We start from the raw sequence: 15,629 nt of genomic DNA on the forward strand, positions 1-15,629 counted from the left end.
ATGAGGAAACATATTCAAAAGCTAGCAGAAGGCAAGAAATAACTAATATCAGAGCAGAACTGAAGGAAATTGAGACCCAAAAACCCTTCAAAAAATCAATGAATCCAGGAGCTGGTTTTTGGAAAAGATCAACAAAATTGATAGACCGCTAGCAAGACTAACAAAGAAGAAAAGAGAGAAGAATCAAATAAACGCAATAAAGAATGATAAAGGGGATATCACCACTGATCTCACAGAAGTACAAACTACCATCATAGAATACTATAAACACCTCTATGCAAATAAACTAGAAAATCTAGAAGAAATGGATAAATTCCTTGACACACACATCCTCCCAAGACTAAACCAGGAAGAAGTTGAACCTCTGAATAGACCAATAGCAGGCTCTGAAATTGAGGCAATAATTAGTAGCTTACCAACCAAAAAAAGTGCAGGACCAGATGGATTCACGACCGAATTCTACAAGAGGTACAAGGAGGAGCTGGTACCATTCCATCTGAAACTGTTCCAATCCACAGAAAAAGAGGGAATCCTCTCTAGCTCATTGTATGCAGCCAGCATCATCCTGATACCAAAGCCTGGCAAAGACACACAAAAAAAGAGAATTTTAGACCAATATCCCACATGAACATTGATGCAAAAATCCTCAATAAAATACTGACAAACTAAATCCAGAAACACATCAAAAACCTTATCCACCATGACCAAGCTGGTTTCATCCCTGGGATGCAAGGCTGGTTCAATGTACACAAATCAATAAATGCAATCCAGCATATAAACAGAAAAAAAGACAAAAACCACATGATTGTCTCAATAGATGCAGAAAAGGCCTTTGACAAAATTCAACAGCCTTCATGCTAAAAACTCTCAATAAATTAGGTGTTCATGGGATGTATCTCAAAATAATAAGAGCTATGTATGACAAACCCACTGCCAATATCATACTGAATGGGCAAAAACTGGAAGCATTCCCTTTGAAAACTGGCACAAGACAGGGATGCCCTCTCTCACCACTCCTATTCAACATACTGTTGGAAGTTCTGACCAGGGCTATCAGGCAAGAGAAAGAAAGAAATGGTATTCAATTAGGAAAAGCTGAAGTCAAATTGTCCCTGTTCGCAAATGACATGATTGCATATTTAGAAAACCCCATCATCTCAGCCCAAAATCTCCTTAAGCTGATAAGCAACTTCAGCAAAGTCTCAGGATACAAAGTCAATGTGCAAAAATCACAAGCATTCTTATACACCAATAACAGACAAACAGAGAGCCACATCATGAGTGAACTCCCATGTAAAATTGCTTCAAAGAGAATAAAATACCTAGGAATCCAACTTACAAGGGATGTGAAGGACCTCTTCAAGGAGAACTACAAACCACTGCTCAATAAAATAAAAGAGGAAACATACAAATGGAAGTTTATTCCATGCTCATGGATAGGAAGAATCAATATTGTGAAAATGGCCATACTGCTCAAGGTAATTTATAGATTCAATGCCATCCCCATCAAGCTACCAATGACTTTCTTCACAGCATTGGAAAAAACTACTTTAAAGTTCATATGGAACCAAAAAAGAGCTCTCATTGCCAAGTCAATCCTAAGCTAAAAGAACAAAGATGGAGGCATTGCGCTATCTGACTTCAAACTATACTACAAAGTTACAGTAATCAAAACAGCATGGTACTGGTACCAAAACAGAGATATAGACCAATGGAGCAGAACAGAGCCCTCAGAAATGATACGACATATCTACAACCATCTGATCTTTGCCAAACCTGACAAAAACAAGAAATGAGGAAAGGATTCCCTATTTAATAAATGGTGCTGGGAAAACTGGATAGCCATATGCAGAAAGCTGAAACTGGATCCCTTCCTTACACCTTACACAAAAATTAATTCAAGATGTATTAAAGACTTAAATGTTAGACCTAAAACCATAAAAACCCTGGAAGAAATCCTAGGCAATACCATTAGGATGTAGGCATGGGCAAGGACTTCATGTCAAAAACAAAAAAAGCATGGCAACAAAAGCCAAAATACAAATGAGACCTAATTAAACTAAAGAGCTTCTGCAGACCAAAAAAAAAAAAAAAAAAAAAAGTACCAGCAAAGCGAATAGGCAACCTACACGACTGGCAGAACATTTTTGCAATCTACTCATCTGACAAAGGGCTAATACCCAAAATCTACAAAGAACTCAAACAAATTTACAAGGAAAAAACAAACAACCCCATCCAAAAGTGGGTGAAGGATATGAACAGAGACTTTCTCAAAACAAGACATTTATGCAGCCAACAGACACATGAAAAAATGCTTGTCATCACTAGCCATCATAGAAATGCAAATCAAAACCACAATGAGGTACCATCTCACACCAGCTATAATAGCAATCATGAAAAAGTCAGGAAACAACTGGTGCTCAAGAGAATGTGGAGAAATAGGAACAGTTTTACATAATTGATGGGAGTGTAAACTACTTCAACCATGTGGAAGACAGTGTGGTGATTCCTCAAGGATCTAGAACTAGAAATATCATTTCACCCAGCCATCCCATTACTGGGTATATACCCAAAGGATTATAAATCATGCTTTTATAAAAACACACACACGTGTGTATTCACTGTGGCACTGTTCACAATAGCAAAGACTTCGAACCAACCCAAAATGTCCATGAATGACAGACTGGATTGAGAAAATGTGGCACATACACACCATGGAATACTATGCAGCTATAAAAAGTGATGAGTTCATGTCCTTTGTAGGGACATGGATGAAGCTGGAAATCATCCTTCTCAGGGAACTATTGCAAGGACAAAAAAACCAAACACCTCATGTTGTCACTCATAGGTGGGAATTGAACATTGAGAACACTTGGACACAGGAAAGGGAACATCACACACTGGGGCCTGTTGTGGAATGGTGGGGGAGGTATAGCATTAGGAGATATATCTAATGTAAATGACGAGTTAACAGGTGCAACACACCAACATGGCACGTGTATACATATGTAACAGACCTGAACGTTGTGCACATGTAACCTAGAACTTAAAGTATAATAAAATATACAAATATATATAAAAATATATACAATATATTTAGAAAAATATGCAAATAAATATACAAAAAATATACAAATATAAAAATATACAAATATAAAAAAATAAAATATACAAATATGTAAATAATATATACACATTATACAAATATATAATATATGAATAATATAATATATAAATATATAAATATTTTTTACAATATATATAAATATAAATATATAAATAAATTTTTTACAAAAATGTAAAATATAACAAACATATACAAATAAATATACAAAAATATACAAACAAAAATATACAAATATAAAACATATACAAATATAAAAAATACATATACAAAAAATATACAAATATATACATATATAAAAAAACATACCTATACCGAAAAAGAAAGCGTGATAGTTGAAATGATAACCAGGGATGTTAATCTCAGTAAGTCAAAATTATTGCACCTCTAGTGAACAAAACTCTGACCTACCCTTTTATGAAAAGTTGTGGTGAGTAATGAAGAATAACAAGTAATACCACAACACCAATAATGTTCATTTTTGACAATGAAAATAGATTTTATGGTTGTATGTCCACAGTCAACATTCACAAATTCACATACATATGTGTGTGTGTGTGTGTGTGTGTGTGTGTGTGTATATATAAATACAAAAATGTACATATATGTATTAGGTACTGTGTGACATCAGTGCTGGGTGTCCAGGAGACACAGACAGACAGACAAGAAAACTAATGTGACAGATAAGAAGCACCTCCTGGAAGGAGTGATGTCTGTGTTGTAGGAGTCTTAAGTAGGCAAATCGGGAGAGAGCATTTATCTCCAAGAAAAAATGGGGCCCAAGTTACAAGATAGGAAAGGGCATGGCTGAAAGTGGAGTTGTCCAGATGTTGCTCCAACTGGACTGTGGTGAAACAGAAAGACATGAAGCTGACAGGAAAATAAATATTAGGTCTGGAAGGGATTTGTTCAGCCATGCTGAGGATATGGATTCAGAATCTAAAAGGTATCAAATCCTGACAAAAGCCATGAAATCTGACTTTGTATAGATGAAACCAATGTGATGAACATCTGTATTAGAGGAGGGGTTTGGTGGCTCAACCTTGTAATTCCAGCACTTTTAGGGGCCAGGGTGGGTGGATCACGTGAGGCCAGGAATTCAAGACCATCCTGGCCAATTTGGTGAAACTCCGTTTCTACGAAAAATACAAAAATTAGCCCAGCTTGGTGGGCATATATAATTTTACCTACTCAAAAGTTTGAGGCACAGTAATTACTTGAACCCAGAGGCTGAGGTTGCAGTGAGCTGAAATAATGCCACTGCTCTCCAGCCAGGGTAACACAGTAAGACTATCTCAAAGAAAAGAAGAAGCAAGGAAATGTGCATTAGAAAACATGAAACATGGACTCTAACAGGAGGTAATGAAAGGCACAAACATGTTGGAATCCTTTAATGTAAGATCAAAAGTGTGTACTGTTAATGTTAGCTCCTGATCTAAAATGCTTCTTGTTGAAATCTTCATTGAATAAAGTAGGTATAAGTGAAGCATTTTTAACACCAATTCTTCTTTTCACCCTTACTAAATGCTGGGGACAGCCACGTTTGAAATTTGGATTATAATAAAACTTTAACTAAAACCAAAGAAAAAGGTAATTCAGTGCCATTTTAAACCGGGAGACAAGTGACAATAACAAACATAACACATAAAATATCAGATTTCTCTTTCGTCACACAAACTTAATGACATCAAATAATTCATGAACATTATTTGCTATTTTTAAGAAAGTGCTTGTTGGGAAAAAAAAGCACTCAAATTGTTAAGCCCTCAGGTGAAAACATGTTATATATTAATAGCAACATTACATTAAGTGGCTTTGATACATTTATTTGGAGTTCACTGGTAAGATTCAAAGTTTTAGCAACATTTCTGAAAACTCTGAAAGGTTGATGCTCAAGCTGAACTCAATAATTTCAAAAAAATAAATAATTTCTACCTTAATATTTTATATAATTTTCAACATCTGGTCTTGTTGCATGTATTAACATATTTACTGATGTTCAAAGTAAAATTACATACATACTTTACATAGAGTGGTAACTGAAATATGTTAAATGCTTTGCTTAAGGCATCGGATTCTTTCTCTTCTGCCAGAAAGGTGGCTAGAAAGGCAGATCTTTGAAAATTCTGTCGCAACGGAGACCTACTGGAGGCTTCTGAACCAGTTAACTAATCTTTGGGAGAAACATCTTGAATTTCTGAAGAAACATGTGCCATCTCAAATAAACATTTCTTAAAAGGCCGGGCGCGGTGGCTCACGCCTGTAATCCCAGCACTTTGGGAGGCCGAGGCGGGTGGATCATGAGGTCAGGAGATCGAGACCATCCTGGCTAATACGGTGAAACCCCGTCTCTACTAAAAATACAAAAAATTAGCCGGGCGTAGCGGCGGGCGCCTGTAGTCCCAGCTACTTGGGAGGCTGAGGCAGGAGAATGGCGTGAACCCGGGAGGCGGAGCTTGCAGTGAGCCGAGATCGCGCCACTGCACTCCAGCCTGGGCGACAGAGCGAGACTCCGTCTCAAAAAAAAAAAAAAAATGAAAATTCTGTCGCAACGGAGACCTACTGGAGGCTTCTGAACCAGTTAACTAATCTTTGGGAGAAACATCTTGAATTTCTGAAGAAACATGTGCCATCTCAAATAAACATTTCTTTAGCTACTCTTCCAGCCTGCATGGTTTTCAAGACTGCGGCTTCAAATGCTGCTTCAGAAGGCCTAGGCAGGTAAAGAAATCTAGACCATCACGATGTTCCCAAGGTGAGTAGCAATGACATCACAAGAGGATTTTGGTCTCCTAGCAACCAACAAAAAATCTGACCAAAAGTGCTTCCTTCCCAGTCTGAGAAATGTATCCATTGAAAATCAAATATACACTGCTAACTTACACAGTGTCAGCTGCAAAAATCTCATCCCTTCAGCATGATTTAAATAAACAAGAAAATAGTGTCCTCAATCCCAGAAATAAATGTAATTTTCTCCCTGACACACACACTTACTAGATTGGTGACAGGAGCATAGGTAATTGCAAAACAAAACAAAAAAAGGAAATTATTTAAATAGCAAGTGCTTAATTGTGTTACCATACCATAAACAGAGAATGTGTCCCCATGTACAAATGTTCTCATTTCCCCAGCAAATATCAAAAACAATGTAATGATAATTTTAAAGCTTATAATCTTTTTAATTTATTTATAAAAAGGTAAGTAAATAATCATTAACATCATCATGGTAATTATGCCATAACTAACTTAAGCAATACTTTCTTATCAAAGCTTAACATATTTATATATAGCAATCCTTTGGTATCTGTAGGGGATTGGCTCCAGAAACATCTCAAATACCAAAATGTATGTCTGCTCAAGCTTCTGCTTTATAATGATGCAGTACATAAGTATAATGCACACCCATCCTCCTGTGTAGTTTACTTTATCTCTACATAAATAATTAATAAAATGTAAATGCTATGTAGACAGATATTTTACTCTAATGACTTTAAATTTGTTACATTTTACCATAGTATTGATTTTTTTGTTTTTGTTTTCAAACACTTTAATATATGTCTAGGGAAATCTGTTTGCAGAACCTTTATATGCAAAAGGTCTCTTATTTGTTGCAAATCAGAAAACATTACTGACACAGAGAGTGATGGCTATGTGGTTCCATATAGCCACTACTATCTGTGTTACTTCTCTAATATTTTCTTTTATGCAATTAAGCAGAATTTGGTGTGAGTAAACTGAAGATACAAAGTAAGCAATAATGATAGCAGTTAATACTTATAGTGCTTAAAGTCAAGGTAATACACTAAGAGCTGCACACATATTAATAAATTTAATCCTCACTGTCCTTTCTTTTTGTGTGACAGTTTCACTCTCTTCACCTAGAATGCAGTGCAATGGCAGGATCTAGGCTCACTGCAACCTAGACCTCCCAGATTCAAGCGATTCACCTGTCCCAGCCTCCCCAGTAGCTAGTATTACAGGCATCTGCCGCCACGCCTGGCTAATTTTCATATTTTTAGTAGAGATGGGGCTTCACCCTGTTGGCAAAGCTGGACTCTCTGTCTTATAAAAAGGTAAAACCTATACATAATACTTTAAACGGTGTGAATTAAGAGTGGCAGGCAGGGTGAAAAGAAATTGTTCCAAGTCTCAGAGGTGAAAATAGCAGGCAGTATGCTGTTAAAAATAAACCACAATTTAAATGGCAGCTAAGTGCAAGATAATGCAGACAGCTTGGAGGTGAGATGTTATGAAGGTCAAGAAAGACATACCTGTCATTTAATATATAATATCTTCAAAGACATTTTACCATTATATATCCTAGTCAAATTGCAAAGAAATAAAATTAGCTGGTTAGGCCTAAAGAAAGAGACCTGTTTGTGAAACTACAAGTGGTCGTTAAAATCTGTTGGAAGCCCATAAAATGAAGGAACATTTTTGCTTCAAGAGATTTTTATAGTAGAAAAAGAATAATGCTTTCTTCTACCAACTCTTCAAGATTCAATCATTAAAATGCAATTTATTTTAGAGTAGAGATGAAAACAATCTGGGAGATTATTTTACATCTCAAATTATTCACCTAATGAGAATAACTTTTTTTTTCCTAGTCAGTCATTCGATTTTGTCAATAACATTCTCCTTTAAGCCAGTTATCATCTTGACTACCTCTCTGATACCGTGCAAATACTAAAGAGAAAGCAGAAGTTAATTTTGTGGATGAGCACAAACACTTCTAATTGTCTTCTGGTTGTTTTCAATGAGATAATTATTTTTTTCAAAACTGAACAAAACAAACTTTTTATCACATTTTACAATGATGTGCATTTGCACATTCAATTTGATACACTGTTCCACAGAATGAAGAAGATTTTGAAGACTGTTCATGTCCACATTTAAAGTTGTAAAAGATTTCTCACATTTGTATCAAAAGATATTATTTAAAATACAAATTATAAAATGTATTTTTTACTTTTATTTGTGAAGACAGGTTCTTTGTCACTGAAGCTAAAATGCAGTGGCACAATTCCAGTTCACTGTGGTCTCAAACTCTTTGGCTTGAGCTGGGGTTTCCCTAATCAGTATCCATCTGCGTCTTGTTATGAACTGGGGCTACACATCAACAGGTGAGTGGTGGCCAAGCATGGAAACCTTATCTCTATTTAAAACACTAAGTATGGTTCACAGTACTGCCTGAGATCCGCTTTCTGAAGATCAGTGGCAGCATCCGATTTTTATAGAAGCGAGGGAACTACTATTTACTGCACTTGAGAGAAATTTACGTTTTGCACTCTTTATAAGAATCAAAACAACTGATCACCTGCAACAGTCTCCCATCACCCACAGATAGAACCATCTAGCTACAGGAAAATAAGTTTAGGGCTCCCACCGAGTCTACATTATGGTGAGATGTATAATTATTTTGTTAAATATTATAATGTAATAATAAGACAAATAAAGCGCAAAATCAATGGAGGGTACTCAAATCTTCCAAAAACTGTCTCCACAACCCCAGTTGATGAAAATCTTGTCTTTCACAAAAACAGGCCCTGGTGCCAAGTGATAGCAGATGATCACATATAGATGCATGCACACATAAATTATTGAGTGAAAGTTTTGAAGACAGAAGCTCAAAGAGTTATAATAATTTGAGAGAACAAGAACAGAAATGTTGACTAGATTGCAGAAAAAGAAATGTTTTGAGTAGAGAAAGCTAATGAAAATAAATTGTTGACACAAGAAAAAATGAGAGTGAGGGACGTGTGCAGATAAAGAATTGAAATATGTAAATTAGAATTATATATGCAAATCATATTTATAACCTAGGTTTACAGTTTAGCTATGAAATTTGGAAACTTTTACTGAAAGCTATAATGGGCAGTCAGTTAATTACACGTGCACTAAAGACTTTTAAAGGAAATCTAAGTGATATGCTAATACATAGAAAGGGAACTACTGTGAGTAAAACAGAAGACAGCCCAGAAATCAGAAGATCCCTTTTTCTTCCTACCTCTGAGCTATCTAAGAAATACCTTCTTGAAAGAACACTAAACTCTTTCTCTGTGTGTGTGTGTGGTTTTGTGTGCATGTGTGGTTGTGTGTGTTTGTGTGGCACAGCTTCTCTTCATTACTCAGTCTGCAATGCAGCAACACGGTTACAGCTCAGGTGATGTTTTCGCCTTAGTGTCCCGGATAGATGGGACTAGTGCAGACAATTACACTCAGCTAATTTATTGCATCTTAGTAGAGATGGGATATCACCATGTTGCACAGGCTGGTTTTGAACTCCTGAAATCAAGTAATCTGACTCCCTTGGCTTCCCAAAGTGCTAAGGCTATCCATGTGAGTGACAGGGCCTGGCCTAGTTGAGATTTTTCAAATCTAAACACGGACCAAGTGTTATTGGTCACTTTTGTAAGAGGCTCAAAATCTATGAGATTACATTCAGGCTTGCAAAAATTATGTGTATATTACATGAAGTTATAGATTATATATTTATATAAAAGTATATCATATATATTTTATCTTGCAGGACTAGGAAGCAGTACTTTTTTGTCAGTGATTAAAAGGTTTATTTGATAATAAAAATGCTTATTTGATGATGAGTAATATGGATTTCTGAGGTGATTATTATACATAATCTCAGGCATAAACATTACTCTAGAAACTAAAAGACATCATTGATGTGCTAGTCTAAATTGAACAGTATAATGAGGAAAGTGTAATCAAATATCAAAGTTAGTCAAATAAATGGTATTTTATCTTTCCAAGTAGCTGATACTACAGGCTCATATATCCACACCTGAATAATTTTTGTTTTGTTTTCATAGAGGCAGGGTTTTCTACGTTGCCCAAGGTTGTAAAATAATTTGTATTATGTGTGATAACAGTACCCTGGTCATATATTTTTGAAAAAACTTTAGGGATGTATTAAAATATCTGTACACTTAAAAAATGTACTTGACATTTGCTTCATTTGAGAACTGTTAAATCAAGGAGATGACTTCATTTTAATATTTTGATTATATAGATTACAAATCTTCCTATAAGAAGTCAATTATACCTTAAGAGATGAAAGAATACAGTGGCCTGTCTTTGCTGTGACAATTTTAACCTTTTTCTATTAGTATGACAATAATAAAAATGATCAAGAAATGCAGCTAGGATATTACTATTTTTTAAATATTACATGCCAAATAAACTATGTATTTTAAAGATCTATTTAAAAAATTTAATGTACAGACGATTTTATCAAAATTAAATTGATAAATCACCCATAATTTACCTGAAGTGTTTCCAAAAAATTTTCAGTACATAGTATTTTAGTCAGAAGGCAACTAAATGTAAAAGAGGCTTGAAGGTGTCTTTGGACACGAATATTGTTCTCTTTCCTATCTTCTATCTTGTTTAATGTGGGCTCATCTTTAAATTTATGACGTTAACTACGTACATCATTTTGGAGATGAGCATTGCTATAGAAACCAAAATACATTGGTGATGCACTAATCTAACGTTAAAATATAATAAAAGAAGTTGAAATAAATACCAAAACTTAGTTAATAAGATGATATGCATGTTTTAATATTATTTTCAAAGAACTTATTGTTTTTAATGTTTAGGATTAGTGATTATTTCACAGGGGGACCATCAGAAAGAGATCACAGAAAAATTATCCTTAGCAATAATAAAACAATAGCATATATTGCAGGTAATAAAATATACTACAGTGTTGTTGAGTAGACAGATTAAAAACAAATCAGTGCTCTGCCATATGAGGAATAAGATACTTTGTTCTCCTAGAATTCAGTGTCTTCTTGTGATTTTAATGCATTTTTACAGATTTCATGATATAATTTATGTGATGTATTTGGAATTATTACTGCACAATAAGTACAGCTATTAAGAGTAGTTGTGGAAGGAATGAGAGCACACACAGGAACGCCAAAGGTCATAATTTCCTTATAGCTACAGAGCAAAATACAGTTGTTTTACACATATCTCTCATGTTTCTGTATGTTTTTCTCTACATCTGAGGTTTTTGATACAATAATGAACAATATCCAGTTTGTGCCCTGATGAAGTTCATTGTATAGAAAAAGCAGCTAGGCAGACATGCAGCCACAGTAAAGCGCTAAGACATCATAAAGCACAAGCAATGAAGCACAAAGGTGGGGATTTAATTTGAATTTTATATTCTGTCTGCCTCATTCACTTCTTGCCAGTGTAATTAACCATCTCTATCTGTTTTAAATTCAAAACCCTAGGGGTAAAACTGATTACAGTACAAGGAACTAAATTTTACTTTTTGTTGTTGTTGTTGTTTATTAGTGACTATTAACCAAGTGTTAGCGAACGTCCCATATGGACATTCTACTAAAAGAAATGCTACCAAGGTTTTAATGCCTGCGTGGTGTGATCTATCAGATCTAGAAAGGGAGAGGCAAGTGTGTTTTTAATCTCCATAAATGATAAATGCTGAGATGCTATTTGAAAACCAAACTATTTCTGATTACTGAGGAAGAGAAATGTAGAAATTTAAGATTTATTACAATTAAAATATTCTAATTTCTTTATTTAGTTTCTATCAATACCTATGCAAAAAGTAAAGGAACTACTTGAGTACAAACATTTCCAAAATTCAAGTTTTTGGTATTCACTTATTTAATAGCTATATCTTAAATATGTAATCTGCCACTAAAACCTAATATTTTTGCTGCTTTATTTTCAACCAGATACTTTTTATTTTCAACCAGATGTTTTATACCCTTAGCAGCCTGATTGTAATAGTTACGTCATGTTGCTAACAGGTCCATGTAGCATTATCTGAAAATCAATTTTTTTCCTTAGCAGAAAAAACCCTAATTTGAGAAAAATATTTAGAGAATCCTAAAAATAAGCACAACTTATATAACACAGATAGAACAGTAAAAAAGCCTACTTTATAAAACAAGATGAGAATATAATTATTAAAAACAAAAATTTCTCATTATCCAAAGAATGAATTGCATTTACCATGTTGTGCAAATGTGATTATATCAACCATGCTTTGAAAACAACAAAAAACATTGATAAATATTATTAACTAAAATTTCAACTTACTAGATAGTGATCACAATAAATATGCCAGTCATAGTATCTCAGATATTATAGCCATATCATCAAAATGCAGTCCTGATAAAACCTCATGAAACTATACTAATTTGAGGAAGAACAACAGTATCTACTATGAGAATATTCAAAAAATGATAATTAAAACTTACCTCACAATTTTGTTTCTCATCTTTGAACGATCATCGAGTTCATCACTAACTGTGTTTTCAATTGTAGAAATACTGTTTCTGATGACTGGGATTATGTATAGTTGCTGGATCACAGAATTATTAACCACAGACTTCTTAAGTCCACATTTTTAATGACATTGCTTCTGTAACAATTTTCTTAGAAAAGGTCATGCATGATGGTATAATATTAAATTCTAATGTGTTACACAGACTTAGCATTAATCATTACAAATTTACATATTAAAAAACTTTTGCACTTAAGTGTATTCAATACATTTTAATCAGAACTTTACATAAATAGAACTTTAGAGTTTTCTCAGTTTTAATTGAGCACTACATTTACATTATTGTTCTGATTCATAAAAACTATAATCTTCACATAAATATCACTTTCTTCCTCAGCTAATAGTGATAATTGTTTTATCTATGTTCATAGTTTTATTGTGAGATGAAGTCAATTAGAAGTTGTCTTTAAAATACCTGTGAAAATTGTAAATGCTACTTTTTGTAAAACTGAATATGACTTACACATAAATCCAACTTAGAGATGGATTACATAAATTAGAGCACATTGAACTGCAAGTTATGTAGCTACAAAACAGAATTAAATAGATCTTGTTGTATTGACAGGCGTGTGACTAAGTACAAAACAAGGTTAACCATATTGTATATAAACTCATTACTTAAAAAGTCAGATCATTCTGTGTCCTGTGGGATCTATGTAGAGAGAAGAGTTTCCTTTTTGAAAACACTTTTTTTTTGTTAATTTGTTTAACTATTGTATTAGAATAGTAAATATATATTTTCAAAAGATTTTTTTACTTTGATCAGAAATATGATCATTTCTGTAAGAAAAAAAAATAGCTAATTGTATGAAGATGTGCATATATCTCAAAGAAAATCTCTGTACCAGAAATATAATATTGGTGGCAAGATAATAGTTTTTAGTGCATGTCCTCTTGTATATTTGAAAATATATATTAATCACAAGAAAACATTGGCTAGTTTAACAACAATACTGTTTATTTTAAAAAATCTCTTTTGAAAATACAAATTTACTATTCCAATACAATAGTTAAACAAATTAACAAAAAAAAAAGTGTTTTCAAAAAGGAAACTCTTCTCTCTACATAGATCCCACAGGACACAGAATGATCTGACCTTTTAAGTAATGAGTTTAGCTAGAAACTCCTACAATGTACTAAAAAATATACTCACACAGAGAAAAACATAAATATAATTTCACATTTTCCAATTAAATATCTGTACAGAATGCTGTTGTTAATTATGTACTTAACCCTCAGATTTCTCTTGAAATCAACTAAATTTCATGTTATTACTTGTTAATTTACTTACATTGGCTCCCAGTCTGAGTTTCAGTTTTGTGTAAGATTTCAACATTGCTACCTATTTTGCTTAACTAATATGGACATTTAAAAGTAATAAAATGCACTCAAATGTTCTCTTCTCACATTATGATTTTTAAAACAATACCTCTCTTATAATATAACTAAAATACCATGAAACAACTTCAAAGTTTGGGTTATGAAAATCTTTTTAATGCATACAGTTTAAATATAAAGTTTTTGTAGCATTAAATTTGGCTTCTTGTATTCTAAAGGGTTAGTATTTTTTTTTCACATACAACTAAATAAAACCCACTGTGGTAAATTACCAAAACCAGCTATAGGAGAGAAGTTAAGAAATACATGCTTATTTTGAAAAATAATGTTCTCTTACTTACATGGTTTTAATTATATACCTGATGGCTACAAAATGGTAAACTAGTTAATCAAAAAGAAAAAACCCATAAGTTAATTTTTGCAAATGAAATAATAGAATTTTAAACTAAAGTGTGATTAATGAACAAAAACTTCTTTATAATTTAAAATATTCACTAGTTATTGCTTTGTCTTTGTAATATGTTTCAGTCAAACAGTCTAGCATCATTGTGAGATTTTTTACACAGCCAATAGCTGGTGCTGCAAGCAGCTCAAAACCAGGGTTGATGGTAGTGGGTCAGTTACAGACAAGAACAGCCTTCTCTGCTAGCAGTTATTCACTTCTTATGTATTGCAGGTGAACTTTAGATGAAGGCAAGATGAAAACGAATTAATTTCTAGTAAGTTAGAAGAAGTAATCACATATTATTAGTAGAAAAGACAGGTTATAAAAACTTTATTTTCAAAGAAAATACCTTTAAGTCTATTTCACATAATTAAACATCTCAATGTATCTTGAAACAATTTTGAATTTTCTTACAAAAGAAAATCCTGAGGAAAAAAAACTGAGTGCAATCAACTAATGTAACTAATTATCCAAATTAGATTTTTACAGAAATTTCTAAAACTTCAGAACTTTACACCAAAGCAAAATAACATTCTAAATATACCTACTATTTTAGTTACATATTAATAAAAATAAATTAATTTCCAAGTATAATACATTAAAATTATATTATTTTTCTTGAATTATGAGACATATAAAGAAACTCATCAAAAATATGATGTAGAAAATAAGGTTTTGCAAGATGGACTTTTTTATTCAATTAGAAATTCAATCAGGGGCCAGGCATGGCGATTCACACGTGTAATTCCAGTACTTTTGGAAGCCAAGGCAGGCAGAGTACTTGAGGTCTGAATATTGAGACAAGCATGACCAATATGGTAAAAACACATGAGGTGTGGTGGTGCACACCTGTAATCTCAGCTATTCAAGAAGCCGAGGAAGAATAAATACTTGAAGCTGGGAAGCAGGGTGCTGCAGTGTGCTAAGATTGCACCAGTGCACTCCAGCCAAAGAGGCAATGTGAGATATCATTCTAAAATTAAAAGAAAACAAATTCAATCAATTAAAAATTGAGATGTACTACTTATTTAACTTTTCAATGCAGTTTGTGACAACTCTGATTTTTAATTACAAAATGTTTTAAATAAAGTGTGCACACATTTCAAAGTTACTACAACCCCACATCCAGAAAAAAAAGTTTTATTTTTATTTAATTAATTTAATTTTGTTTTATATTAAGTTCCACAGTACATGCAGGACATCCTGGTTTATTTCACAAATGACAGAATGTTAGAACAGCAGCAAGTTAGAGAAAATGTCAGGATGGCAGAATAGCCAAAAGTTAGAGAAAAATGAGATCTCATATAAAATTTCAGCAATTTTTTTTTTAAGACAGAGCTTTGCTCTTGTCATACAGGCTGCAGTGCAATGGTGTGATC

The 15,629-nt window shown here is 33.3% G+C and overlaps 2 pseudogenes; both read right to left on the bottom strand.

Moving 5' to 3' along the window:
- On the bottom strand, positions 4,545-5,825 carry HSFY6P (heat shock transcription factor Y-linked 6, pseudogene; annotated as a pseudogene).
- USP9YP18 (USP9Y pseudogene 18) lies at positions 6,165-14,521 on the bottom strand (annotated as a pseudogene).

The sequence above is a fragment of the Homo sapiens genome, chromosome Y, assembly GCF_000001405.40.
Source record: "Homo sapiens chromosome Y, GRCh38.p14 Primary Assembly".
NCBI classification, from domain to species: Eukaryota; Metazoa; Chordata; class Mammalia; order Primates; family Hominidae; genus Homo; species Homo sapiens.